The sequence below is a fragment of the Homo sapiens genome, chromosome 12 (assembly GCF_000001405.40).
Source record: "Homo sapiens chromosome 12, GRCh38.p14 Primary Assembly".
Classification (NCBI taxonomy): Eukaryota; Metazoa; Chordata; class Mammalia; order Primates; family Hominidae; genus Homo; species Homo sapiens.
Window position 1 is genome coordinate 11,756,011 of NC_000012.12, and position 26,311 is coordinate 11,782,321.

The 26,311-nt window shown below is 42.8% G+C and overlaps 1 protein-coding gene across 12 annotated transcripts in view, besides 8 other annotated features; it reads left to right on the top strand.

The window, feature by feature from the left end:
* Positions 1 to 26,311, top strand: part of ETV6 (ETS variant transcription factor 6) — a 245,704-nt gene that overhangs the window by 106,337 nt on the left and 113,056 nt on the right. The window lies entirely within an intron of this gene.
* Positions 2,616 to 2,665: an enhancer, noted in NCBI's record as "active region_5986". NCBI's record gives its function as "activates an Ori minimal core promoter by ATAC-STARR-seq in GM12878 lymphoblastoid cells {active_cell/tissue: GM12878}" and the evidence as "EXISTENCE:reporter gene assay evidence [ECO:0000049][PMID:35858748]".
* Positions 6,097 to 6,266: an enhancer, noted in NCBI's record as "active region_5987". NCBI's record gives its function as "activates an Ori minimal core promoter by ATAC-STARR-seq in GM12878 lymphoblastoid cells {active_cell/tissue: GM12878}" and the evidence as "EXISTENCE:reporter gene assay evidence [ECO:0000049][PMID:35858748]".
* Positions 6,277 to 6,396: an enhancer, noted in NCBI's record as "active region_5988". NCBI's record gives its function as "activates an Ori minimal core promoter by ATAC-STARR-seq in GM12878 lymphoblastoid cells {active_cell/tissue: GM12878}" and the evidence as "EXISTENCE:reporter gene assay evidence [ECO:0000049][PMID:35858748]".
* Positions 6,897 to 6,946: an enhancer, noted in NCBI's record as "active region_5989". NCBI's record gives its function as "activates an Ori minimal core promoter by ATAC-STARR-seq in GM12878 lymphoblastoid cells {active_cell/tissue: GM12878}" and the evidence as "EXISTENCE:reporter gene assay evidence [ECO:0000049][PMID:35858748]".
* Positions 7,277 to 7,486: an enhancer, noted in NCBI's record as "active region_5990". NCBI's record gives its function as "activates an Ori minimal core promoter by ATAC-STARR-seq in GM12878 lymphoblastoid cells {active_cell/tissue: GM12878}" and the evidence as "EXISTENCE:reporter gene assay evidence [ECO:0000049][PMID:35858748]".
* Positions 9,992 to 10,071: an enhancer, noted in NCBI's record as "active region_5991". NCBI's record gives its function as "activates an Ori minimal core promoter by ATAC-STARR-seq in GM12878 lymphoblastoid cells {active_cell/tissue: GM12878}" and the evidence as "EXISTENCE:reporter gene assay evidence [ECO:0000049][PMID:35858748]".
* Positions 10,082 to 10,161: an enhancer, noted in NCBI's record as "active region_5992". NCBI's record gives its function as "activates an Ori minimal core promoter by ATAC-STARR-seq in GM12878 lymphoblastoid cells {active_cell/tissue: GM12878}" and the evidence as "EXISTENCE:reporter gene assay evidence [ECO:0000049][PMID:35858748]".
* Positions 24,703 to 24,772: an enhancer, noted in NCBI's record as "active region_5993". NCBI's record gives its function as "activates an Ori minimal core promoter by ATAC-STARR-seq in GM12878 lymphoblastoid cells {active_cell/tissue: GM12878}" and the evidence as "EXISTENCE:reporter gene assay evidence [ECO:0000049][PMID:35858748]".

Consider the following 26,311-nt stretch of genomic DNA (forward strand, 5'->3'; position numbering starts at 1 on the left):
AGTTTCTCACCATTTTATTCTGCAAACACAGAGCTATACCCAAACTGAAGACACAGCATGACAAATTAGCAAGTTATTGAGAAGTAGAGAGTGATGCCTTTTCCTTTTATTTGCCAGTGATAAAAGCAAAGTGATAAATGGAGTAAAGTGTTAAGTGCTGATTAGAGAGGACTTGAAAAGGACTGGCAAAGAAGCCTGGGCAGAGTGCAAGAGGAGAGCCCAGGGAAGAAAGGCCAGACCGTGCCATCCTGCTCTGACTCACTGCCCAGATTACCAGGACAGTGCCCTTCAACAGTCCTACAGCAGAACCCCTCTGCTTACCGGGAGAGCAAACACAAGTATGTTTGTTGAGAGGATAGAAAGGGCATCATTTTTTCTTCTTCTTCCTCTTCTTCCATAAAGGGTACTGAATTTTTTTTGAAGCTTGAGGGTAGAAGAGCCGAAGTACAATTACAGTAGACAGGTGGGAAAAAAAAAGTTGCATTCTTTAAAGGAACATAAGCTTTTCATTGTAGCTTGAAAACACTTGAAAGACCAAGGACCCCCAAGGGTGCCCAGGCAAGGTCACTCTTGACTCTACGCAGAGAAGGGCTGTTGCTGGGAGCAAAGGATACCTTTGCCCAGTTCTCACCAGGGGACTTGTAGTCTCGCAAGGGAGGGATGTTTTCTGATTTGTCTACCCAAAGGCCGCCCTTTTTCTAAACTCATGGGGGAGTGGCTGCTGAAGGGGGCAGTTACAGCACCTCACGAGGTGCTGCCAGCCTGCTCATTGGCAGAGGCTTACCTTATGAAACACTGGGCCTCAGACAGTGATGCTCAGGCCCCGCCTTAGGATAACAATATAAGTATAGTTCAGATTGATGGGGCAGAATTTAAATAATTAAATGTCGTTATTTTAAATTTCTTTTAAACATGATCATTTCACATTTAGTTGACATTGCGCCATTTGCCCGCAGACTGTGCATTTTGCAGTGTCCATTTGGCCTTCTAAAATCCCTGTGAATTATATTTAAAAATCGGAACGTAGGACTCATTCATCATATTTAATAGGGTTAGGGTTTATGATGTTGCAGGTTAATAAATAGCCATAATAGCCGCTCGGCGTTTTCTGGAGTCAGAACACCAGAAATAGTCCCTTGGCTCTCTTTCCTTTCCTTGTGAATCTTTCAAAATTCTTACATTACTACTCCTGCTTGTGTGTGTTTAATAATTTAATTTAATGCCTTCCTTTGGAAACATTACCTCGCTGCTCACCCACTCGGCTGTTTTGCCTTCTCAGCAGAGTAACTGAGTTTAAGACAGCCACGTGACAGGCACAGCTATATTAGAACCAGCATAGTGAGAAGGGATGCAGTGCCTCTCTTTTCTAATTGGGTAGAGCAACAATTTTATATGCTTTCACATTATGTTTGTTCCCAAAAAAAAAGAGGCAAAATTGGGAGCTGAACGTGATCATCATTATTATTTTATATTTTTATACATAACAAGATGCGCTCATACTTATTGTCTCACTTAATTGTACAGCAGTCCTTGAAGCAGGTGCTATTGATTCTGTTTGATGAGCTGACCGTGTCTCCGATAGGTCAACTGGATTGTCCAGGTTCACACAGCATGTGAAAGGCCGAATGTGATTTCTACTTCTTGAAACCACCTTTCAGCTTTTTTAGGAGAAAACATAATGACATAAAGAGTTTCATGGACTTGAAAGTAGAGGCACTGCTGACCGCTGAAGTCTGGGCAGCCACAGGTGCAGGGACTGGGACCGGTGTGGTTCTAGTGATGCCACCTGATCATGAAGTTGTGCTGAATCCTCAGCAGACTGGCTTCTCCCTCGTAGTAGGATGAGGGAGAGGAATCAGGATAACAGCCTGTCCCTGTGGATGGTTTATTCTGGTTTTGTTCACCAGTCCTGCTGCCTCCCCGTTTGTTCTCTTGCGAGCTCAGGTTAGAGTTGAATTTCTCCCTACAACCAGAATGCCAGGGCTGGTCCTGTAGGCCCTGATGGGCCAGCTCTGAGAGTGGGCTCAATCCAGTACCCAATTCCCCAGCATTTTGCTAGGGGTGCCCTTCTAGGAGCAGGGTCTCACTGCTTTTGGAAGTCTCCAAATAAAAAACCATGGTAATAGAAAGGGCTTGGGTCTGGATAGACGTGAATGGACTTGAATTTCAGGGTTGGCTCTATTAGAGAGATGATTTAACCTCTCTAAGACTCAAGTTTCTAACGACACCTACTAATGAGGGCTTCTTAGAAGTATCAGAGCTCATTTATGTATAGCACCTGGCATAGTGCCTGGCCTGCAGTGGCCAGGTAGCTCACCAAAGCTCCATTTCTGTTTCCGGTTATGGTGAATAGCCTGTTGAGGAGGTGGCTTCCCCATGCAGGAGCCAAGGGAAGCAGACATGTCGTTGTCTGTGTGTTTCATTAAAGAAAGGACCTAGGGTTCTGTCTGTGTATTATTGAGACTAATCTTCCTAAGTCACAATGGAAATAAGCTTTGCTTTCAAACGATCCCCTGTGATTTCCAGGGGCTCAGTTTTGCTCTAGGGCACTCCATCCCAGGACCTTTTCCTACCCACATGTCTCTCCCTCAGTCTGGAACTTTCTTCCCGTTCTCGCCTGAATCTGTGAATCTCCTTCAGCCTTCCCCACTCTTCTAATACCTATCAAGTCCTCCCCTGTCCTTTGCTATCACATCAGTGTTCCAAAAATGGCCTCTCCTCACAGCTGCCTGTGACGTGCAGTGATATCACCAGCAGAGTTGAGACAAGGACAAGGAGAAGAGATTTAATTCTCTGTCAGTGTCTTACAAAGCAGTAATGACTTCTAACAAAGCCGACCAGCCACTAGCATTTTCTACTTTGTTCCCCCTTAAGCCTTCTTTTGGGTGCCTTCACTTTTTACATCCAAATGCTTGAAGCTTTCTACTTTCCCCGCGGCACATGTGGCTGTACGAGGGCCCTGGTTAGCTGCTTCAAACAGCTTGAAGAGCAAAAACAGCCCACAGCAGAACAGCCAGGATGCTTTGGAAGGGAAATTTCCTTTTTGGGTTTGCTGTCTGAAAGAATTTCCGATGCAGGCAGACGTTAATTCCTAGCTCCATGCTTCCTGATAAGGAAGCAGCTTCAATAAATGCAGCTATTTATAGATGTCTTTTTTTTTTTAAGAAAAAAAATATATAACCAGAGGTTTACTGACCTTTTCTTTCACTTCACATTTCATGCAGTGAGCTCTGTGTACATTTAAGGCAGTTCCTCCAGCGTCAGCTCTGACAAAGTGGCCCTGGTTTCGCTGTGGGGGATGGGGAGGGGAGGATGAAGATGGCACGGCCCCTCATTAGTGTCACGGGCTCTCCCTTTCCTCAGAGTTCTGAAGTAGACATTTGGAAACTGTTGACAATGGGTTGTCCCTACCTGGTGCTCTGTGTTATTTATGTGAGCCCAGAGGTGCCCAGCTTTATTCTAGACTCAACACTGAAAGGTTATAGCAGACTAAGAGAACCCTTTAAAAAATAAAAGACGATGAGAACCAGTCCATTTTATGAAACTTGAACAGCAACAGGAAATCAGAAACTTTATTTCCATTTCTTCTTTTCTTCTGTCCGTTGCTTCCTCTTGGATTTTCCCAACCCTCAATACGTCTGTGGTCTTTCTCTCGTCTTGATGGGTTTCCGCAGATTGAGGAGTTCCTGTCCATGAGCTCCACAGTCACCCTTACATGTATCTACCTAATGCTTTCTGGCAGGTGTGATAAAGGTTCAGTGTGTTGGCTTGAATGTGCTTCTCTAAGTTACTTCTCACCTCCTCTGATTATCAGAAAGCATTGGTTGAGCTGAGTATATACAAATACAGCAGTTTCCATGCTCAAATAACTGATATTTTCTCCCATTTTGCTTCATGTGTGAGTTACACCACATTAGTAATTCAAACTTTTGGGGTTTCTGGCAGGATGACCTTGACAACTTCATCAGAGGTAAACGTTAGCAGCGACGTTTAGATGTTGCTGCTTTTGCTGTTGCCATGGGTGGATTCTGATTCTCAGTTGCCTGTACCATGTGTGAGTGTTTTGTGGTTCATTTTTCTGATCTCTTCTGAAGGAGGGGTAGAGCAGGACTTGAGAGATTTAAACTGGCCCTGGCTCTGGCCACATGCTGACTGTAAATTCCCAAGTATAATTAGTCACACTGCCCCAATATTTACTGCCTCCATCTTGGGTGTGTGGACAAAACCCCATTCTTTCAACATTGGTCTCCATTTCTGCTTCCAGCAGATCATGGATACCAGTAGCTCTCAAATGGGGCTGTAAGATTCCAGTAATAGAAATGCAGATGATGGGTACGGATAATGGATAAAGAACTGTAGATGTGGGGTGGATGACGATTGGATACCTAGAAGGGAAAGTTGACTGCACAGGGCTACGCAGTGAATACCCTATTTTACCAGGTCAGCTGAGGCTAAATTCTCTACTTCTGGGGTGGGGGTACTAACTGAAATGGTTCACTGAGGAGGGTGAAGGTTTGTAAGGGAAGATGTAACAATACTTTTTTAAAAGCACCTAGGACAAGTTTTAGGGTGTTGAATAGCACCATTTAAAAATTATAGGGGTATCCAGCAATTTATGGAGCTCTGATTGAGAAGTATCATTGTTAGGATTTTATTACCCATTTGTTTTCCAGAAGTAGCTCATCTTTGCAAATGAGCTTTAGTTTTTTGGTCATTGTACCCTACCTGCCAGCTCACAGGAGCCTGTGTTTCTCCTTAGGAGCCACTCTGAGGTCAACCGTGTTTAAGATCATAAAGCCACTCTAGAGAATCTCTGTGGCATTGTTGTGTGGAAGAAGAAATAATGATCACTACTATTATTATATATATGTGTGTGTGTGTGTGTGTGTGTGTGTGTGTATATAAAAGTATATGTGTGTGTGTGTATATATGTATATATGTGTGTATATGTATATGCTTCATATATATTATCCTGAATAATAACAAACTCTGCACAGTAGATATTATACCTGAGGCTCAGGTAAACCACTTGCCCGAGGTCACCCAGAGAAAGTGGAGGAGCCCCAATTTGAATCCGTATCTAATTCCAAAACCCAGACTTTTATTTTCCACTTCACCCTATTACTCTTTAAAAGTCTGAGGAGCAAATGAAAGTTGTTTCATTCTATCTATTGGTTAGAAGGAGAATATCCAAGCTAACAGGCTGATTTTTTTTTCCAATTTTTAAGCATAATATAAATTACTGACAAGAGGGCCCAGATGGATAAAATCAGAGCTATAAACCAAATTATCTTTTGAACTTGAAGGAAGATAAATTTCCATATCCAATCCTGTATGCACACTGTTATCTGCCAGATAGTCTCAGGTATGTGTGTAAATTCTGGAGTGTTAGAAACAAAACTAAATGAAGTAAAAAGAGGTTCCTTGTCTATTATTTTCCATCTTTTTTAAAGAGATGATCTACCTCACAGATGGTTATTAAACAGTAAGAAAGATGCTGTGATTGAATGAAGATTGTGTTACTGAGTTTACACCTTAAAACACTGAACTTCCTGATAATTTGTGTTAAGCCAACACGCTTCAGAAAAATTGCCTGACGTTTGGTGCCTTAGTTTACCCACATGGCATGTGTGCCAGAACACGCTACAACAGGGTAAGAGGGCAGAGAACATGCTCTTGTAGGGGTCAGTTCCTTGAGCTCTGGTTCTACGTGGCTGATTACTTGGGTCATCCCAGCAGTTCATTCCATCTCTCAGGACTGTGGTTTCCACATCTGCAAAGTGAAATGGCCTGAGTATATGATTCCTAAGTTCTCCCCAACTCAATCGTCGCATTGTTCTCTTATTCCAGAAGAGAAACACAAGGGGTATCAGCAGTGGAACATTATCTGTAAATGCCAGATTTCATGATCATTCACTTGATTTTTAGGACTCAACATCAAATTTTAGTGCAGATGGTGGTACTTTCATGACACAGGAAATTGTCCTTCGTTTTACCTGTGATTGTTTTGGGAGGAAGCCCTCCTGCAAGGAAATAGGGAAATCCAACACCCAGCTCTGTTGAGCATTTCCCTATGGTTCCTGTGATTGAAATCGGGTTAATGCTTTTGTGGGATGAGAACTGGTGCCAGCTCCTAGGCCTTGCAGGGCTTCTAAAGACTGTCCCTGCCACTCTTGCCTTATGCTGGTTCCCAGGACCTTACAGCCAGATCACAGGCCTGCTCCCCTGTTCTCATAGCCCCCTTTCTGGCCTGAGAATTGTCTGTGGCTTGGCCCTTTGCCCCATGCAACATGCACAGGTGTGGCTTCTGCTAACTATCTACTTGACCCCAACTGTGTGATTAGCGGCAATCCCCTCTGCAACTCAAGGCGTGTTTGCCTTTCCTGTAACCTGTAAAAAATTTCAGTCTGCGTTTTTCTCCCTCTGGAGATGGTATCCACTGGGTTTTAGGCTTTACAGAGCCAGCTGATCTGCGTGGATGGGCCACACTATCCTCCCTTAGCCGGCTCCGTAGCACATGCACAATTAATACTGCATTAATTAATTATGGGAGAAAAAAAGCACAGTTGGCAAGGGAATGAAGGCTTTCAGCTTCTAAAGTGAAGGCTTTGATGCTGAGCTTGAAAGTACATTTCCATCCGCCTCAGCCAGCAGAGAGAATCTGTGACACTTATACCATCCCCTGGGCATGAAAACTCACACCCAAGGAAAGTATTTCTAAATAGAGGCCCTCAACTAGTTGCTGGAATCATCTACTCATTGCCATGGGCTGTGAAAAGGGGGTGTAAGATTAGGGAGAAAAGACTCGCCCAAAGCAGCAGTGATTCGTGACCAAAGCTGATGAGGGGTTTTATTTTTTCTCCTTAAGTAGCTCTTAAGTCACCAACATCAGGAACTCTTTGTAGAGAAACAAATATGAGTAAGTGATTTGGTGCCAGCCCTCTTGAGGACATAAAATGACTCTTTCTCCTTCCTCCTCCTCCTCGCATGCCTTGCTTCAGGAAGGAACCCTAAGGTGGTGCAGGTTCCCAAACCTGTTATTCGGATGGGTTGGAAGGTTCATCTCTGTTAGGCATGGTTTCCCACTAGATATGAACAAAGTCGGGGAGAAAATGCTTTCCTTTTTCATTCTGATTCCTTCACGCCATTGTTCTTGAACTCCTCAGCTCCCACACTGACTCCTTTCACTTCTCCTATGAGGTGGTAGTGAAGCCACCTCACAAAGTCCCCTCTCTGAACAGACGCAGTTCTCGTTCCCCTATTTACAACTCTGTCAAGCATTTTTCGTGGGGGCTCTTGCTGACCTTAAAATTTGGCCGTGATTCAAATATTCATCCAGGTATCTGGGGTTTTATTAAAGGTCTTTTAGGAACACAAAAGTAGGAATTCCCTGAGAGAGGTTTTCTTCACTTGAGACTCATGGGTTATAAATGAAACTACTGGAATGCCCTGACCAAGTGCTGAGAGGAGCTTCAGAGACCCACAAAAACCTAAAAAGATGTGAAATTTGTCTCTGATCAAATAGATTTTGGACCTTATGAAAGAAAATAAGCTTTTCTTTTGATTCTTAGAGAAAAATTTTTGCTTCAGATGAATCCAAGTGTGTGTGCACGCACGTGCTTTCGTTGGGATCGTCTTATAGCTGTTATTCCAGATACCTGCTTCACAAAGCTTCTGTGATTATTCCTACTACTGTGACGATTCCTGCCACCCCAGTGATCGGGGAAAAGAACTTGAAATACAACTGGGTATTGTAGCATTGGCACTGTGCAGACGCTGTGTAGCTCTCTCATGTCTGGTACTTCTTTGTTTGCTAAAGGAGTATTGAGATTCAGAAAGTGGCTGCCTTCTAAACCTTTATTGTTCAGATAGCATTACTTTGGACCCAGGACAGAGGGCTTATAGTTGACTGTGAACGGGGTGAATGTTATACTTAAGCAGGGAATGTGGTCACCCAGTTGCAATGATTTAGAGTGCTTTGAACATAAATATCTCCCACGATGAATGACCAGGGTGCCTGAAATTCCATTGTTGAGACATTCCTTTTGGATCAGGCATTATTTCCACATAGCTCCACTTTTAAAAGTAAATCATTATGGCAGGAGATAGTTATGGAGAGAGATAATTAATACCTCAAGTCCCTAATATCTTAATGAAAATTAGCTTATCAGATCTCCTGAATTTTTTGAAGTGGAAGGACCGTGGCCAGCACGGAGTGGGTAGAGTTGGAAATAAGCACTATAATTTGCTTAGGGCTGGCCTTCTCTGTGGATAAGACAGATGGAAAACTAGATGGAAAATCCAGGCCTCCTGATTTAGACAAAACATTGTGAGCCTGGAGCTCTGAGGCCAGGATGAGCAGTCTGCTACTTACTGTGCGTGGCCATTGCTCTCAAGACATTGCCATCATCAGTCTTGGCCAAAGAAGGTCAGGTCTCCTCTAGTACACTGGCGATTTGAGAATGTGCAAGTCATCTGCATTTCTTTGACAGGAGTAGTGAATTTGGGAGTATAAATCTGAATCCTTAAGCCTTTCAACCATTCTCACTAAATGTCTTTACTTCAGGGATGATCACGTTTGATCGTAATGCCAAGATCTTGCAGATGTATAAAGGGCATGGTAATCCAAGTCTTGAGTTGAAGTAAGTGGTCAGGAAAATCTTGACCCTTGGGGAAGGAGCTACCAGAGCTGGGTGGCCTATGTGTGTGTGACAGGGAGGAGGTGTGCAGAATTTGGGGGAAAGATCCTTTGTAGTTCTCCATGTGGAATAATAACTTCCATTTATTGAGTGCTTATGGTAGGCGCTTTTCACATGTATTGTATCATTTAACCCTCTAGGCAGTCCTGTGAACTGGGTTTTATTATCCTCATCTTACTGATGAAGAGTCAAACTTAAAGAGGAAAAGGAACTTGACCAGAGTCACAGAGGTGGTAGGTGGGAGACAGGTCCATCCAATATACACCTTGCCTTCCAATAGAAGCCAAAGCCCTATTGCCTAATCTCTTCACTTTAAGAACATGAAGAATAGTGTTGAGTTCCCCTTTGAGATCTGACTGTGGTTAAAGCTTCACAAATTTCAGAAAAACAGAATAACTCACTAAAATAAAAATTTAAAGCTACCCCACAGAAAACATCTACCACAACCCAAAACTTCAGGGTTTATATATCCAGATTTTAGTGAACTATATGACTCTCCCTAGTCCCTTGCTCTGTCTCCTGGTAAATACTGTCCCTTTCAGAGCCCTGGCACATACATAGTGTAATAAGATCAGACCCCATCCCCCTACCATTCCAATGCAATCTAATTGCAAAGTGAAAATCCAGGGCCGTCTTAGATCCTCATCTGTCTACGTCTCTCTTGGTCCCCACTGCTTGATACGCAGTCTCAGGTTCAATACCATTCTCTCTTTTTGTGCTTTAGGTCTCTGTATTGTTTCCTTTTCACCACTTTTTTTTTTTTAATGAAGTGATTTTAAATGGAAAATTAAAAACTTAACTGTGAATCTGGCAGTTTCCTGCTAATGCCTCTTTGCTAAGAAGCTTCATAAAATACTGTATCTTATTCACTTCAGCACAGCTGCTGTGGGCTCTCACCACTTAACCATTCACAATATGTCTGAGAGATTAATTTTTGTAAGGCTGTGGTTTGAGATATCTCCCCCTTCCTTGTTTTACTTAAAATCCTCAGTGGGAAAGCGTGCATGGGGAAAAAAAAAACCACCACCACCCTGGATAAAAGGTACTTTGGTAACATACGTGCTTTAGGAACTATAATTTGTCATTTTATTTTCTTGTGCCCTCTTCATTTGAAATGCTGCAGCCTTTCTGCCAGAAGTCTCAAGTTTGTGTATGAGACTGAGGGGGAAACGAGAGTAGGTACCTTGTGCTGAGACTGTCCTGGGACAGTCCCGTGGTGGGTGTGAGCGTCTGTGTGATGCAGGTATGCTTATTTCTTCATGAAAGCCGCAGGTACTGGTTGCCTCTCGCAGGGTTAAAACTCTTGGCGGCTCACAGGAGGTGATGAAGAGCAAGGGCACGGGAGAATGAAGAAGCAGGAGGAAGGTGTGGGCCAGGGTCGGTTTCGGTGGGGTCCCCACTTGCTGGGTGAAAGCTGAACTGTTTATCCACACATCCCAGCAGCAGCAGAAAGCCAAGGGGTGTTTTCAGGACTCAGCTGCCAAAGTTTCTTGAAGCAGCTCTGCTCAAAGGCATATGCTGGGCTCACTTCTGAGGGAAATTTCCTTTTTGGGGAAGTTGAAGCAAAGGAATTTCCTGTGTGGGCAGACAGAGCTTCCTGACTTGAAGGCTTCTTGGAAGGGAAACAGTTTCATAATGAAATGACAAATTAAAGACATACCAGCCGGGTTCACTTCAAAACAGCTATTGAGAGTGCAGGCAAAGCCCTATTATACTCCCTCACAGAACAAAAATAAATCCCATCCTGACAGGTTTCTGTATGCCGGATTATATCCGTCCCCCCACACCTTTCTTCACAGCCTTCTTCATGCTTCCCTTCCTCCCACCCCCGCCATTAGCTGCCACCAGCTCCATCTTGAACAGCTCTCGAGAGCAGCCGGCAGCCAGGCCGGGAGCCTGTTTCTTGCTCCCTTGCTTTGTGGCTTTGCCCATCCCTGACCTGCGTGGAGGCCTTATAGGTTATGTGACAGCCCTATGCTGCCAAGACACAGAAATGACCTCTTTCCTTCCCCTTTTGACATAAAGCAATGATTGAAGACGTCTTCAGCAATGGGGTGGGGGCGGGCAGTCAGGGGAGAATGCAGCCATTTCCTCAGGCCGGCCTTTAAAATCTTGAAGGCAGTAAATGTAAGTGCTATTCCGGTCTTGGGAGCTGGGTCTGAATTCTTTGCTTTGTTGAAGGAAATAGGGCTCTGTGCTGGGTGGACGATATTCTTGTACCTGAACATGTCATTTTCTTCAGTTCCATCAGCCTGCATGTGGTGCTTTGTTTTGTTTCTGAAATTGACATGATGATGCCTTAGGAACTAAATTTTTTTCTTTAATGGAACAGGCTAGGAGAAAGAAGGATGGCGGTATCATTTGGGGCGTGAGAACAGTCATTATTAATTAGGCTTAAGTTAATGAAATAAAAAAGGCACAGGCTTTGAAATCAGTTGTCTAAATTTAAGGGCCAGCTCTAACAATATACAACCAGCAATGTAACCTTGAACAAGTCACTGAACCTCCCAGCCTCAGTTTCCTTATCTCTAAAATGGGTACAGTCATACCTTTTTCACATTGTTGTGAGGAAATTAGATTATGATTTCAGAGGCACTTTGTGAATTCCTATAAGCCTTCATACTTCTTATTAAACCACTATTGGGATCTCTGGAGACTGAAATATAGTATTAGGCTAAGACAGCAGAATTGTAGAATTTGTAGATCAATTTGGCAAATATTTAGTAGAAGTCTTCTATGTGTGCAGCATGGCTCGACTCTGTGGGGGAAAATAAACAAGTGGAAAGTTTCAGGTGGCCGCATGGTATAGCAGAAAGAATATTGGACTTGGGGCCAGGAGGCCAGGGTTCAATCCTGGCTGTCACTCAGTTGCCTGTGACTTGGTATGAACTGTTTAACCTTGATGAGCCTCAGTTGCTCATCTGTAAAACTGGGAGAAATCAAACTCTATGACCTTAATAAACTCTGTCCAACTCTAACATTGTATAATCAGTTTTAAGAGGTTTTTGCCTTTAGCAGCTGTTTATAGGATTTATTCTAAAGAGTAGGGAAGAAATATTCATTGTATAAGAGCTTGTCTGATGAAGAAGATTGCATGAAAAAGCTACACTTTTTTAATAAGTATATCTGATGTAAACAGGAAAAATGGGTGCTTGCCAGATATGTCATCTATAGCAACTTGTTTTGAGGGGGTCTCTGAATGCTGACATGAAAATGACTAGGATCATGGGTTGAACGTGAGTTTGCTCAAGAGAAGGTTCTCTTGGGGCTTTGGTTTACTTCCTCCCAGCTGCTCCAGGGAACACTCAGGATATTTCCAAATGGCTGCTCATTTAAGCCATTCCCGTTATGGTTCTCCTTGTCCAAATTGGCTTCCATGGTACAGTCCCAGTGTTGACTGGTTCTGCTAATTTGATTCTTTTTTTTTTTAATGTGCTGATATGTAGTTTTAGGACTGCTGCATTATTGTTCCTCTATCTTTCCGTTTGTATTAGTAAAGAACTATTAGCAATTTTGCCTCAGTCTTCTAAGCACGCTTTTTGATTGGAGAAAACCAAGGTACCAGAAAACTTAGATACCATGTGGAAAGTCACAGTTTACTGGGTGTGTACTATGTGTTACTAGTGCTTTAATAAATTTCCTCATTAATTTTATTCTCCCAGCAAGCCTGGCAGGTAGCTGATAGTATCTTTGCTTTACACATACAGAAACTAGGGCTTAGAGATGGTAAGTAATTGGGTCAAGGCCACAGAACTGGCTGGTAGCAGAGCCAGAATTTGAACTCATGTCTGCCTGCTCCAAAGCCTGTGTTCTTTATCCCCTCAGTGCACCCCTACTGTTTTGACTGCTGTTAAATTGACCTTATGCTTAGAACCGAAGTCAAACCCGTACCAGGGCTGCAAAAAGAAACAAAATTAACCTCATAGTCTGCATACTCTCGAAATGGCAAAAAAGCCTGCAACTTTCCGTTGTGGAAAATAATATACCTGGGTGATAAACTGAGCAAACATCACCCTTGCCCTTGCCTCTGAAAGAGAGCCTGTTCTAGTTCATCCTGGGGCCAGCTTGGCCTGGAACCCCACTGGCCAGCTCTGTCCACACCTTGCATATTAGGACAGAAATCTGCCTACCACATTCCAGCTACATAAAGAAGGTGGCCAGCACCTGACTGCCTCTTTCTCCTTGTGAAATTCCTTGGAAATACCATTTGTGACTGCTTGGGCTTGTTCTGAAGAAAATTCAAATCTTGTTCTGTTTAACAAGGATTGATTGAAGAACCCGTAGGCTCAGTGCTAGTACAAAGATAAGCAAGGAAGGAACTCAGAATAAGAGAGAAAAAACTTGGATAATAATTATCAAAACCAGTATTTATTGAGCACCTACTGTGCCCAGTAGAGTAGTAATTACAGGAGGTAAATATCTAAAACTTACATAGCTCTTCACAGAACATACATCTGTTCTTGCTTCTGTGTTTGATTTTATTAGCTTTCCTCTGTACACATAAGCTTTTAGTGTATGTCCTATTATTGAAGTCCAGAGTTTTATTATTTTTCACTTATTTGGGCATAGATAGTTCCAGAATTTACTTGTCTTCCTCATTCTCATTGTTAATCTCATTTTTCTTCCCTGGAGAATATGGACTTTCAAAACTATTTTTCAATCAAGGCCAAAATATTTCTTAAAATTCACTTCTATTTAAAACACAGATAACATCCAGGAGAAAATCTGAGAAGAAAAAAAAAAACGATTTTGATGGTACCTGATTATAAAAGACTCACAGTACTAAGTTATTCTTTGGCACGTGTAGCAAAATACTATGTAGGTGTCATTTCGAGTTCATAGTAAGGGGAGAAATGGTGTCATTTTTCCTGCAGAGAAATTTAATCTTTCACTTTAATCTTTCATTGGCCTATAGCAGCCAGTGGGGTCTTTTAAAAAATTCTTTTCCTTCATATTCCCCGTTTGAGCTTAAGGTACAAAAAAAGAAAATACTCTTGAAATGCTGTGACCAGATCTAGACTGTAACATGCCCCTTCACTCCTCTGGTGAGGAAGTGCGGGAAGGTGGAAGACATTGAGGGGTTGATTATTTACTTCGTTTGGAAGTAAGAAGGGAGGTAGCTCTTATTTGGAATAAGAGCTGTCTTCAGAACAGGTGTGTGCTCTCCTGAAGCCCAGAGCTGTGACTCCCTGGGTGTGTCTCTTACCTGTGCCCTTGGGCAGGTGGCACGGGAGAAGAATACGATAAGAGGAGGATGGTACAGACAGAGGAGTCACAGGCTGAACAGGCTGTCACCGGGGCAAGATGACTGACAGGTGGATGGAATTCACCATCCTTTCCTTTCAATCAAAAAAAAGGTAGAAAGTTGCTCATAAGTAAGTTTGAGTTATATCATCTTCTTCATAGCCGTTGCTCTTCAGACACAGGTGCTGGTAATCAGGAAAATGCAAGGAAACAGCTCTGGGGAAAAGGAACAAGCCTCGTTGGCCTTGAGAGCCCCAGTAGACCATCAGGCCTTGCTTTGGATATTGGGAGGTGACAGTGCCTTCTCACGTGCCTGACAGTTTCCCTGCACCACCAAGACTCTGTGTGACTGAGGCCGTGGCCCGGGTTTCAGGATGGGCATTCAGAGGAAGGAAGTTCCCCCTCCTTCACTTACCTCACGCTTACTAGATGCTGGGTTGCCTATGCCCATGTTAAAGGAAGCCAGATAACTTTCTGTCCCCATGTGATCCAGGCCCATCCTGAAGCCTGGGGGTTCTGAACATAAGTATGGCGGTTGCAGCCTTCCTTCTGTGACTTCTGGAATTCCTGACAGAGAGGGTCATATCTAGCCACTGTCAACCGGATGCTAGACTTGTTTTGTTAGGCCCTTCCTCCTTCCCTTCCTCTACTTATCTTCCAATAACCTTAGGATTTGGAGGAAATTAAAATAAACCTTCTTCTAGAAAGGTGTCAGGGACCCATGCACAAATGTAGCCTTTTTGATGCTTGAGAAAGAATGCCTTTTTGACTTCCGTGAATAAAGAATAAGTCACGGCTAATGAGTAAGTAACAGCACGTGCCTGTGGTCCCAGTTATTCAGGAGACTGAGGCAGGAGGATTGCTTGATCCCATGAGTTCAAGGCTGCAGTGAGCCATGATTGTGCCACTGCACTCCAGCCTGAACAACAGAGCAAGACCCCATCTCTTAAAAAAAAAAAGGAAAAATGCCTATGCAATGGCTCTGAGGCACCCTCATGGTTGATCCAATGGCCTTGCCTAGTGATTTTGACATGCTTTAACTTGTGACCAACATCTAGTCTATTTGTCTCCCATTAGAGACTGGTTGTGACAGCATTGCCATTGACCTGCCATATATAGGAACTCCAGTGTCTGAAAACATAGCAGGACTTTGTAGGTATTAACATTGAGCAGTGCTTTCACATTTTACAGCTTACCGTGATGAGCAAGATATTGTGTCAAAAATAGTGCATTGCAGATATCAATAAGAGGTAGGGTAGGCAGTGATTTCAGTGGTGTCCCACTCCACACTGTAATTTTGTTTCTTTGGTCAACTAATGTAAGAACTGAGTCTGTAACTCTAACCTAGGGAGCCATTGCTGTGTGTCAACTTTGTTGCTTTAAAATCTTGAGACACCTTTTCAGTATCTCCCACTTTGTCTGAGTAGTCATACTTTTAATGATATTTAAAAGTCAAACTCTAAATACTTTGGAGCTAAATCTCAGCAGAGATAAACTTCAAACTGGTGGGAGTGGGGGTAGAGAAACCCTTCTGGGAGTCAGAATGAGATACTTGTGTGTCTGGACTGGTGGCAGGTTTGTATGTTACCAGAGTGATCTCCATGGTAACGGATCAACATGGCGCCAATGACAACTCTACACTAAGAGCTTCAGGTTCCCATGAGAAAGTGGATCCTCACAGCAAATAGGAAGAAATCAAGAAATATGGATCCACACTCCCCTTCCCTGTAGAATTCTGGCCGTGAAGTTTCAGTTCATATAACCAACACCATGTCCTATTTAACCACTTGGGTCCCTCTGAGTAAACCAAGACTCTTCTGAGAATGCAGTGTTCTCTCAGATTTCAACTAAATTCATACAAAGTTTAATCAGACTTGCATAGCAAAGAACTATATTGCAGTGGAGCAAGAATGTAACTTGGAGTCAGGAAGCCTGGCCTCCAGACCCAGCTCTGACACTGTGATATGAGGAAATCACCTCGCAGGTTCTTATTTTCCAGATTCTCAAATTCCCACCAGTGCTGATGGTCAATCATCCAATTATATTGAAAGCCCTTAGTATGATACATCAGCAGTAGGAAAGGTAGATGACTAAATATAATACAGTGTGCCTTTTCCTACACCATCAAAGGTATGATAATGTTGTGATCATGTGTATAAAAACTTTCAGACACCTAAAAAGTAGAAGGTGTGATTCATCTCTGTTAAAGCTTAATCTCTGAGCATAACAACCAACATCTGGAAGCTAGGCAGCCAACAGAGGGGTTAATTTTTCTGGAACCTTGGTTGCAAAAGGTTATTAGTTTGCAGAAAGACTCAGAGATCACTGTTTATCTTAAACCACAAGAGAATGTTTTTGAATTCAGAAGAACAGTGATATAGTTCGGTAATTTCATGAACCTCTTCCCTGGGAAACCTTATGACTCAACAGTCAAAGGTGTCCGAATAGTAAAGATGGTTTTCAGTGATCAGGTCTGTGCCCATGCCTGGCCTTGGATAGACTCTGAAATGAGATTCTTTGTTTGATTGATGGGGTGATGGTTTCTGTTGTGTACATTTGAAGGAAACCAGTTTCCCCACCCAAAATTTCTAAGGAGTTTAATCTTTGGGGTATAGGGGAGTTAAACTACACTGAGTCAAGGAAGTAATTGATTGCATATTTCCTCTAAAAGTCAGCTATGGACTTGATATTGACTAAAACAAACTAGCAGTTCTCTTCCACCACCAAGTCAGAGCGTCTGTTCACCATTCTGCATGATTAAAAGAACAACTAAGAATGGTAATGCTCCATTTAAACTTTCCTTGTGATTCTCTCTGGTCTACCTTCAATCAACAAAAGCCTAAAATTTTTATTTTAGAATCATGATGTTGGAAGATCTTTAGATTGCTCATACCATAAAGCTGTTTCTAAGATTGGTCTCGGGAAGGTCCAAGATCAGGATTGAAGTATGAAAAATCTTGGCCAGGTGCAGTGGCTCATGCCTGTAATCCCAGCACTTTGGGAGGCCGAGGCAGGTGGGTCACAAGGTCAGGAGATCCAGACCATCCTGGCTAACATGGTGAAAGCCCGTCTCTACTAAAAATACAAAAAATTAGCTGGGTGTGGTGGCGGACACCTGTAGTCCCAGCTACTCGGGAGGCTGAGGCAGGAGAATGGCGTGAACCCGGGAGGCAGAGCTTGCCGTGAGCCGAGATTGCACCACTACATTCCAGCTTAGTGACAGAGTGAGACTCCATCTCAAAAAAAAAAAAAAAAAAAATGAAATCTTGATCTTATTGCCTTGTCACCTTTTTGTCTTAAGTTTACTTTGTTGGTATAAAGAATTTTTTTTAATTCAGCAAGAGCTCAAAGAGCCATATATATATATATAAATTTTTTTTTAATTAAAAATCTTTCTGCTCAAGTCTCAACTACAGTGAGACTGAATGGAAAATGCAAAAGCTCTTGACATGATGTCGGAATGAACAAGATGGAGAGGTTGAATTTGAGAACATGGTTTCCTTATTGTGAAATTCCAGTTTCAGAACATTGGCACTGTCTGGTTCAAATATAAATACACATTATTTTATTGTAATCCGCTAGTTTAAATTGTTTATTCTGCTTATAAGGAAGAGATCCATGATAGCTGTGAACCCCTTTGAAGGAGACTTTATCCATGGCTCAGTCCAAGGTGTTTGAAGCACTTTTCTCATGGCCTGGCTGGAAAGACTTTCAGAAATAAGCAGGGTTCTGGTAGGAAAATGAAGGCAGTTGAGGAAAACAGTGCACATATTTGTAAGAGGACTATACTTGGTATCTTGGAAAACATAAACAGACCCTAGACTGTCTACCCCAAGTCTGGGAAGGCGGTCCTCTGAAGCTGAGGTTCTCCTGGAACTCCCTTCCACAGGGCTGCGTTGCAAATGCCATTGTGGAGGCATCACCCGATGTGGTGGACCTGAACATTGGGGAAATGCAGTGCTGCCTGCTGCTGCGCTGGCTGGCATCTGCCCTCCTCCGTCTCCTGGGTGCTGCCACAGAGAAGAGAGAGAGAGTGAAGCGGGCAGAGACTGGCTGTTGCCATCACACAACTGAGGGCGGACCTGGAGCTCAGCCGGCTGAGGGTTTGAGAGACCGTTGGGAGCAAGACCCAACCACAAGGCCCATGGAAGAGGAAGTTGGCAGATCTCAGAAAGGGGAGGAAAAGGAGAGGTGCTTATTTGTTCATCTTGTTTTTGCTTTTAAGGAAAGGAGGAGAGTTAAATGAGAAAGGAGGGCGAGTTGAGAAGGTTCTGAGCAGTTTCAGGTCCACGGTTGAGCAATGTTCTTCCTGGTCAACAAACTGCCTGGATTTCATTTTGGCCTGACAACAGCCCCACCACCTAGGGAACTGCACAGAGATCCTGTGTGTTAACCACGCAAGAGAGTCTGCAGTTAGAATACTGGGGCTTGTGCAGAGAGAAGAATTCAGAAAGTCAAAGGCTGGATGTAGGTGAAGAGACTATGGACTCTGCCTTCATGTCATCAGTTAAAGTGCCCTGCACACCTGCCTGTCCTAGGTCCTGTAGGGATGTGATATAACAAGCATGAGCTATACCTTAGTGTCTGTGTTCCAGAACTTTGTTGGCTCCCGAAGCACCTTTCCCTCCTCCCAAGAGGAATAAACAAATGTAAATAAATGGTGCCCAGGTTTTCATTTGGCTCACAAAAGATTATATAAAACTCATAGTCTGTCTGAAGTATGTTACCTGTAAACCTGTTTCAGCTAACCACCTTTTCTAGCACAATCAAGCTGGTAAAATACATGCCTGCACGCCAGCCACGGTACTGAGGACCACATCAAAACTGCTCCTTGAAGGAACTTGGAGAAAATGAACAACCAGCAACTTGTTAGCTGGTCTCTGAATGACAGAGGGTACTGCTTTAGATGTCCCCCAGGAATTCTGAGTTTATGCAGCAGAGGGACCGTAGCCCCGGGGTCAGGCAGGACAAGGGGATCAGACCTTCCTCTTGCTATGTGTGGATCATTATTCAGCTGAATGTCTCTAATCAGGAACTCTGGGCATAAAAACACGATCTCTGCAGACTTGTGTGTGGCTAGACGCCCTCTGTGTGCTGTATTTGTAATTCTCTGTCTCTGTATGGTTTCAGCCTTGGAAGAAGCTTTGAACCAGTGATGAGTTTGCTTTCCGCAGTCAAAACTGTGGTTTGAGAATTTCACTGTTAATAATTGGGAGTAAAGGAAAAAGCTGGGCTATTGAAGGGTAAAGCCGATGTCCCTAGGACTGTGGCCTCAGGAAGATGACTGGATGGCGGCAGCAGAACTGATGGCAGAAACCAGGGAAGCTGATGTTGTATTGCAGCCTCCCTCACACAGATTCTAATCCTAGAAAGTGGACTGTGGAAAAAAACTTAACTATTCACAACAAACGTTTACCAGTCTTATTTAGTGGCAGGCCTTGTGATGAGTGCTGGGGTTAAACCATAAGTCAAATACAGACACTGCTGTCTTTATTATTCATTAAAATGTCTTTAGGGTAATTTTGTATTTACATCTTCAGCAAATATTAACTGAGCACCTGTGATCAACCACATAGCTGCTAGGCACTGTGAATACCGTGGTAGACAAGAACAGACGCTTTTCTTGTTAATCCGTGGAATTTACAATCTAGAGGGGAGACTCCACCTACCCCACCAGATGTGTGCAGAAGGCGCCATCACTGCTTTAGTTTCAGGTCTTTGCTCAGGTCATTGCTCACACTGAGTCCACATTTATAAGTTTTCCTGTCGGGTGAGCTGCCGAAGGGCCAGGGAACGTGATAAACCATACAAGCAGCGCATCCAAGAAGTGGTTTCTGAGCAGTCACTGAGACAGCGAGGGTTCCCTGCACTGAGCACCAAGTTATTACTATTTTCCATACACGTCAATATGTTATTGATTGCTTCACTGTGCTGATCTGTTTTTGTTTCATGTGGCTCTTTGGGTCTGTCTAACCTGGTATTTTCAGTCTCACCAGCATTTCTAAAGTTCTAGAGACCCATTTCATCCACCTTACACCATGTCTACCACAGTGCCAGGCATCAAGCCTGCTAATTGTGCTTGATGGTGATTATTACCAGCCCCGGATTTGTAAGAGTCACCAGCAGTGGCATTTCAAGATTTAGCCTGGGAGCTCACGGTTATGTGGAAAGAGGGGCTCAAGACTAAGCCCAGGGAGGTTTTGGGGTGATAGAATTGATTCTTTACACTGAACGTGAATCCTCAGTGATGTTTTGATGAGGATGCGGGACATTGTGCTATGCTAAAGCCCGTCACAGCAGCATTAAAAATGTCCCAGTATGGAGACCTGACTTACACCTTGGCTCAATCATTAAATTAAATAACTCACCAAAGAATAAATACCAACAAATACTAGAAATGTTGATTTTTAGAATAATAAAATATCAGTTTTTGTTTTTTGAACTGGCAGGGAATTTTTTTTTTTTTCTTTTTGTAGAGACAGTATCATGCTATGTTTCCCAGGCTGGTCTCCAAGTCCTGGCCTCAAGCTATCCTCCTGCTGTGGCCGCCCAAAGTGCTGGGATAAAAGGCATGAGCCACCACACCCAGCCAGAATTTTTTAAATGTTAATTTTCAATACACATGTAGCTATGAGGAGATGGACACATTCTTTCTATCTGACACACCTGGTCACTCCAAACGTTCAGCACTTCACATGGGAGGCTACATATGGAAGTGAAATGAAAAATCACCAGCAGCCGCAGAACAAAAATATAATCCAGTGAGCATAACTTTTATGGAAGCACTTCAGCAATATGGGTAAAGGACCTGAAAACACTTTTGCTCTTTGGCTCACTAATTCCTTTTCTAATAACCCATCCCTAGGGAACACTCTCCGATGCTGACAAACCTTCTTACACATGGTTCTGCAGAGCAGCAGAGGCCACCACCAGCAAGGTTCAATAAATTAAGGCAGGTCATTATGTGGGACTATTATGCACTAATTAAAAATCACATTTTTTAGGCCGGGCGCAGTGGCTCACGCCTGTAATCCCAGCACTTTGGGAGGCCAAGGCGGGTGGATCACAAGGTCAGGAGACTGCGACCATCCTGGCTAACACAGTGAAACCCCGTCTCTGCTAAAAATATTTAAAAAATTAGCCAGGCGTGGTGGCAGGTGCCTGTAGTCCCAGCTACTCGGGAGGCTGAGGCAGGAGAATGGCGTGAACCTGGGAGGCGGAGCTTGCAGTGAGCCGAGATAGCGCCACTGCACTCCAGCCTGGGTGACAGAGTGAGACTCCGTGTCAAAAAAAAAAAAAAAAAAAAAAATCACGTTTTTTAAATGCTCATATAATATAATTGAAAAGGCAGGGTACAAATCTCTCTCTTCAGAGTCATCTCAATTGTTTTTAATCCATAAAAATAAACCAAAAGGCTATGGAGGAAAATAGTTATTGTGGTTATCTCTAGGTAGAAGGATTGTGGGTAGAATTTCTTTCTCTTTACTGTGGAGTTTTTTTGTTTTTTTTTTCTTCTGGCATTGCCCAGGATTATTTCTGTCCATCAGGGCGTAGTGGGTCACTTCTGTACCCAGCAGCTTGCACCTAGATTTATTGTGTCAAAATGCAAATCTGGGCGTGCATTTTCCATTGTCCCCTCCCCACCTGCGCTTAAAACCCCTCCTTGTCTTCCTGCTGTAAGTAGGATAAATGCACCAGCTGTACTGGGCCTTTCCCATTTCCCATGCTGATCACATTCTCTCGCCTCTTTCTTCTGGCTACAACACACTTCTTCATTCCAAACCCTTCCCCCTGACCCACCTCCACCCCCCACCCTAGCAAGATTAATTCCCTGTAATTCTAGTTCATCCTTTTGGCCCCAGTTTAAGCCATTTATTCATGCCAGGCTTTACAGAAGACTCACCAGCACCTCCAATGGGCTTCCAAGGTGCTCTCAACTTCCCTTAACACAGGTTCCCAGTTTATCCTCACCACTGAAGCCCAAGAGCTGGGACTGTGCCAGATTGATCACCAGTGCATTCCCCCAGCACACAGCAGGACTCGGCTCACCCTGGATGGTTCTTAAGCATTTATGAATGGGTGGATCTCACCTACGTGACCTGGAACTTCTCTGTTCTCAGAGCAAGCCATGTCAAATAGCAGAAAATGCACCGGCTTTGGAGCCTACTGCAGGACTAGATGTCTCAGGGTCGCAGTTTCCTCATCCCTAAAAAGGGGAATCACGATGCTTATCTCATGCAGTTATTGTGAGGTTACAAGAGTTACTGCTTATGAAGGGCCCTGTCCAGCATCTGGCACGTGGCAGGTCCTCCGTGAATGACAGCGCCTTCCTGGGCAGCCTGGCGAGCGCACACGCGTGTGCACACACACACACTCCTGTGTTTAATATAGCCCTGTCTGTTGTGAGCCACTTGAGGAGAGGTGTCCCTAGAAGAAACTTTTTTCCCAGAAAATGAGGCCTGGCTGGTGCTCATCCTGAGTTCCTGGAAGGCAGTGTTTTCTTGTAACCATCTGAGATTCCTGGGGCTGGGTATAGTGCCTGATGCTCTCAATATATGCGTGTTGAATCAAACCAGAAGAAGCAGGCTGAGGCACTGAGTGAAAACCTATGTGGATGTCCTGCTGCCTTTTCCTTGTGGAGGGTAGATCATTCCCAACTCTGCCTGAAACTTTGATGCCTTATTGGAGGAAGAGAAAGGTAACTCCCTTGTTGAGCCATAGAGCTCTTAGTTTTTCTTTCTTAAAAAAAAAATCACTCTTCTTTCAAACACCATTAAATTAGTCCAGTTATGTACACTGGGCTTGTATTGCATGGTTTATATAAAAGCTAAGTTCTTTCTTTAAGATTGGAGCCCTCCGTGTGAGTGATTTCAGGATAAAAGGCCTTAGAGGATTAGACACATTATTCGTTTGTAAAACTGATTGCTCAAGTGATACAGCCCTAGGGCTGCCCCCTTATTGTAGCTTCTTGAACACTGTCAAACTGTCAGACTTGGGTTGGTGGTTATTTTATCTCGCAAACAACCAAAACCAGATTTACATTGTAAGTAGATACTAGCGTGGCTTTTGTCCTTCCTATATCTAGGCCCTGAATACTTCAGAGCCAGATTAAATGCTTTGCTCTATTTTTTCATAGATTTGGGCTTCGACCAAACATACAAGTTGAGCCTGTTGACTTCTCTCTTTGTGGATGCACACGTGCGTCTCTGCGTATATTTGTGCATGCTTTCCCGAATAAGTCCTCTTTTAAAACTCAGCCTTTCATCATTTTAGAAATGATTTGCTCTTTTACAGCTTGTACTTTTTATGGTTCTTAGAGGATCACTGCAGCAAATATATTTGGCAGAAATTGAGCACACAAGCCCTTCCCCAGAACTCAGTACTGAATTTGTTCAGTTCCCATCTTAAAAACTTGAAACTCCTTTGACTTTTCCTGTGATGTGCTTATTTCTGATCTGAAACTGTAGTTCAAAGCTAGACTTGGTAATCATTCACGTCAAGAAAGGAATGGATTGCTCAAAAAAGAAGTCAGACTCTAAAAATAGCCTCCATACCGAGGCCCACTTTTCTACCTAGGGAATCAAGACAGAAATATTTCCAGGATTGAAATGACATAGTTCAAGTGACGCAACCATTTGGCTGCCTGCTATTTTTCTCTTTTCTGCCAGAAGGAAAATATATAATGTAGAAAAATTCCCCTAGAGTTGTTAAAATAATCACTGAAATAACCTTTGGTGCTTAGTATGGTACCCTGGAAAACTTGGATCTCTAGAATGGTTCATTTCAGAGCTTTTCCAGATAGCCAAGTTTTTATTAGAAAATTGGTTGGTATAGACGGTGCTCACTGTGACTGTTCAGTGCATGATGAGAATCCTTCTTTACAGAGATAAAAAGTGTGAAGAGAATTGCTGAGAAGTAACCATTCATTCCCTTCTGCATTTGCCTAGTGTGCTGTGTAATTAAATGAGCTGATAAAATTTACAAGAAATAAAGCTTTATGCAATTACAAATAGATGACATGACTTTTTAAAAGGTTTTGCCCATATTTTTCACACACGCTCTACCTTTAGCCTTCTCTGCTTTCACACAGATGCTGAAAAACAAAAGAGTTAATTAGAAACCATTCCTTTTCTCTCTTTCTGGTACAGAGAAGGCTTCCACTAAGTATGTGCTGAATAAATGACCCAGTCTGAAAGTTTTAATTTATTACACAGTATATTCATAGAACTGTAACTGTTACAACCTCTAGTTTGATAGATGTAGCTGTTTTTGTTTTTTTAAGTTGAGATTATATTAATATCTGTCACTTGGGTTGCCAGCCTTTTAGAAGAAAATTTGGGGTTTATATTAGAATAGGTTTTAGGTTCAGTAGCCTGTATCCTTTTTTACTGCCCTGGGACAACAGCAAATATTCACCTAAATTCATTCTGTGGTGTAACACTTTAGAAGTATACCAGTTCTTCCTTGCAAATAACAACAAAAAGCTCTGAACAACTTAATCACAGAGAAAAAAAAAGCTTTTATTGGAGGTATATTGGGCAGCTCATTGGCTGATAAGGTAGCAGAAGCAAAAGGATACTTGGCAGCCCGGAGCTTAGCTGAGATGGAGCCATAAGGACAGTTTTATTAGGATGCCACCACAGCTCGGCTGCCAGTGGACACATGAATTCGTGAGACTAGCACCTCTGCCATAAATAACATCTCACCATCCCTGGGGAATTGGTCACTCCCTTAAGACTCAAACACTGTGGCAAGTGCATCTAATTGGCTGAGTCCAGGTTATGTTCCAGGGAACAGGGGAGAAAGCTCTGCCAATCTTGGGATTCCCCCACATGCGGTATGTGGATGCTGAGCAGACAAAAATATAGAAGTCTAGTAGATGATTGTAAGTTACTGTATAGCAGTGTGTTTCATCTTGTTCTTACGTCCTGTGGAAGCTTTCTTCATGGCGAAGTTAAGCAGTTCCACATCTGCATTCCCCCAGATCAGCACACCAAAGGTGAACAGCTTGGGTTTCCCCCTACTTTCAGTTACAGGTACAAGATGTTAGCAAACTATGCAAATCTCAATGAGTTTTGTTTCCTAATTCTGTTTGCATGCTAGGAAACTTGCCTCATGATACAACAGTAAACCCCTGCTTTAAGAAAAACATGAGGCTGGTTTAATATGTACAATGTCCAACTCTTAGGAAGTGTTTATTTTTCAATTGCCTTTAATAATTTCTCATAAAGATCGATGAGTCTAAGAATTGTGAAGGACCTCAGAGATGATATATTTCAACTTGTCATCCACGTCACGACTGTCTCTTTAGCATCCCAGAGATAGCAGGACAGTCCTCCCCTGCTTGTGTGTATTCAGTGGGAAGTACTTCCCTGCCCCCTTTTCGTCCCGTTCTTGGATGGTGCTAGATGTGAAAAATAGAGTTGAAACTCACCTCACTGTCACTTTGCTCTTGGTTCTAGTTTTGCCATGTGAAACCAGATAGGGTGTATTCTTTCTACATTAAGTCTAGAGACAGAACTTTGGAATCAGATATGGATTTGATGCTCAGCTTTGCCATTTACCCAAAATGAAACAGTTACTTTAACAGTATTTTTCGTCTAATATGTGCAAACTAATTGCTGAATGGATAGGCAGTTATTTTATTAATGCAACAAAAGGTTATGTTAGCATTTTAATATTTGTGTTGTATTCACATTGATCGTTTTTACTTGGACTATAGCCAAAGTCAGAACTCTTCTTTTGTGGATTTTTTAAACTTAAAATATATGCCTTTACATTTAACCCTATTACGTTTTATTTAAGTTGGCTGAGGTAATGCCTATCATCCCTTCTATAAACTCCTCTTTCCTACTTTATGGCTTCTATATTAGATGAGTACTTTCTCTGTACCTTTATGTTAATTATTTGGAAGGGAAAAAGATTGAATGGGACGGGACCTGTGAAAGATCCCTGTGGCATACCGCTAGAGACTGCCTTCCAGGTAGGCATAGTTTTAAAACTATAAAGTTAACTTTATAGTTAACAAGTATATTGTGATTATGTTTTCTGGCAAATAAATCTCTTTGCTGCCATATGCCATAAATGACACATTATCATTTTTGCAAATATGCACAATGGTACTACATATCAATTGACTGTCAGCCTAACCCATAAGAAAAAGTCAGGATAGACTGTCAAGTTATTTGCTGAAATCAGATGCACTGCTTGGCTCTCTGTAAAATCTTTACCAAGTACCCTCTTTCACTTTACTCGTCTACTCATGGCAAATCTAAAACCTTCTACTTCAGCTTAGGCAAGACATCTTCTTGGGTCAGTGGTAGATGTGAACAATCTTCGTGGGTCAGTGGTAGTTTAACAGTTTGTTA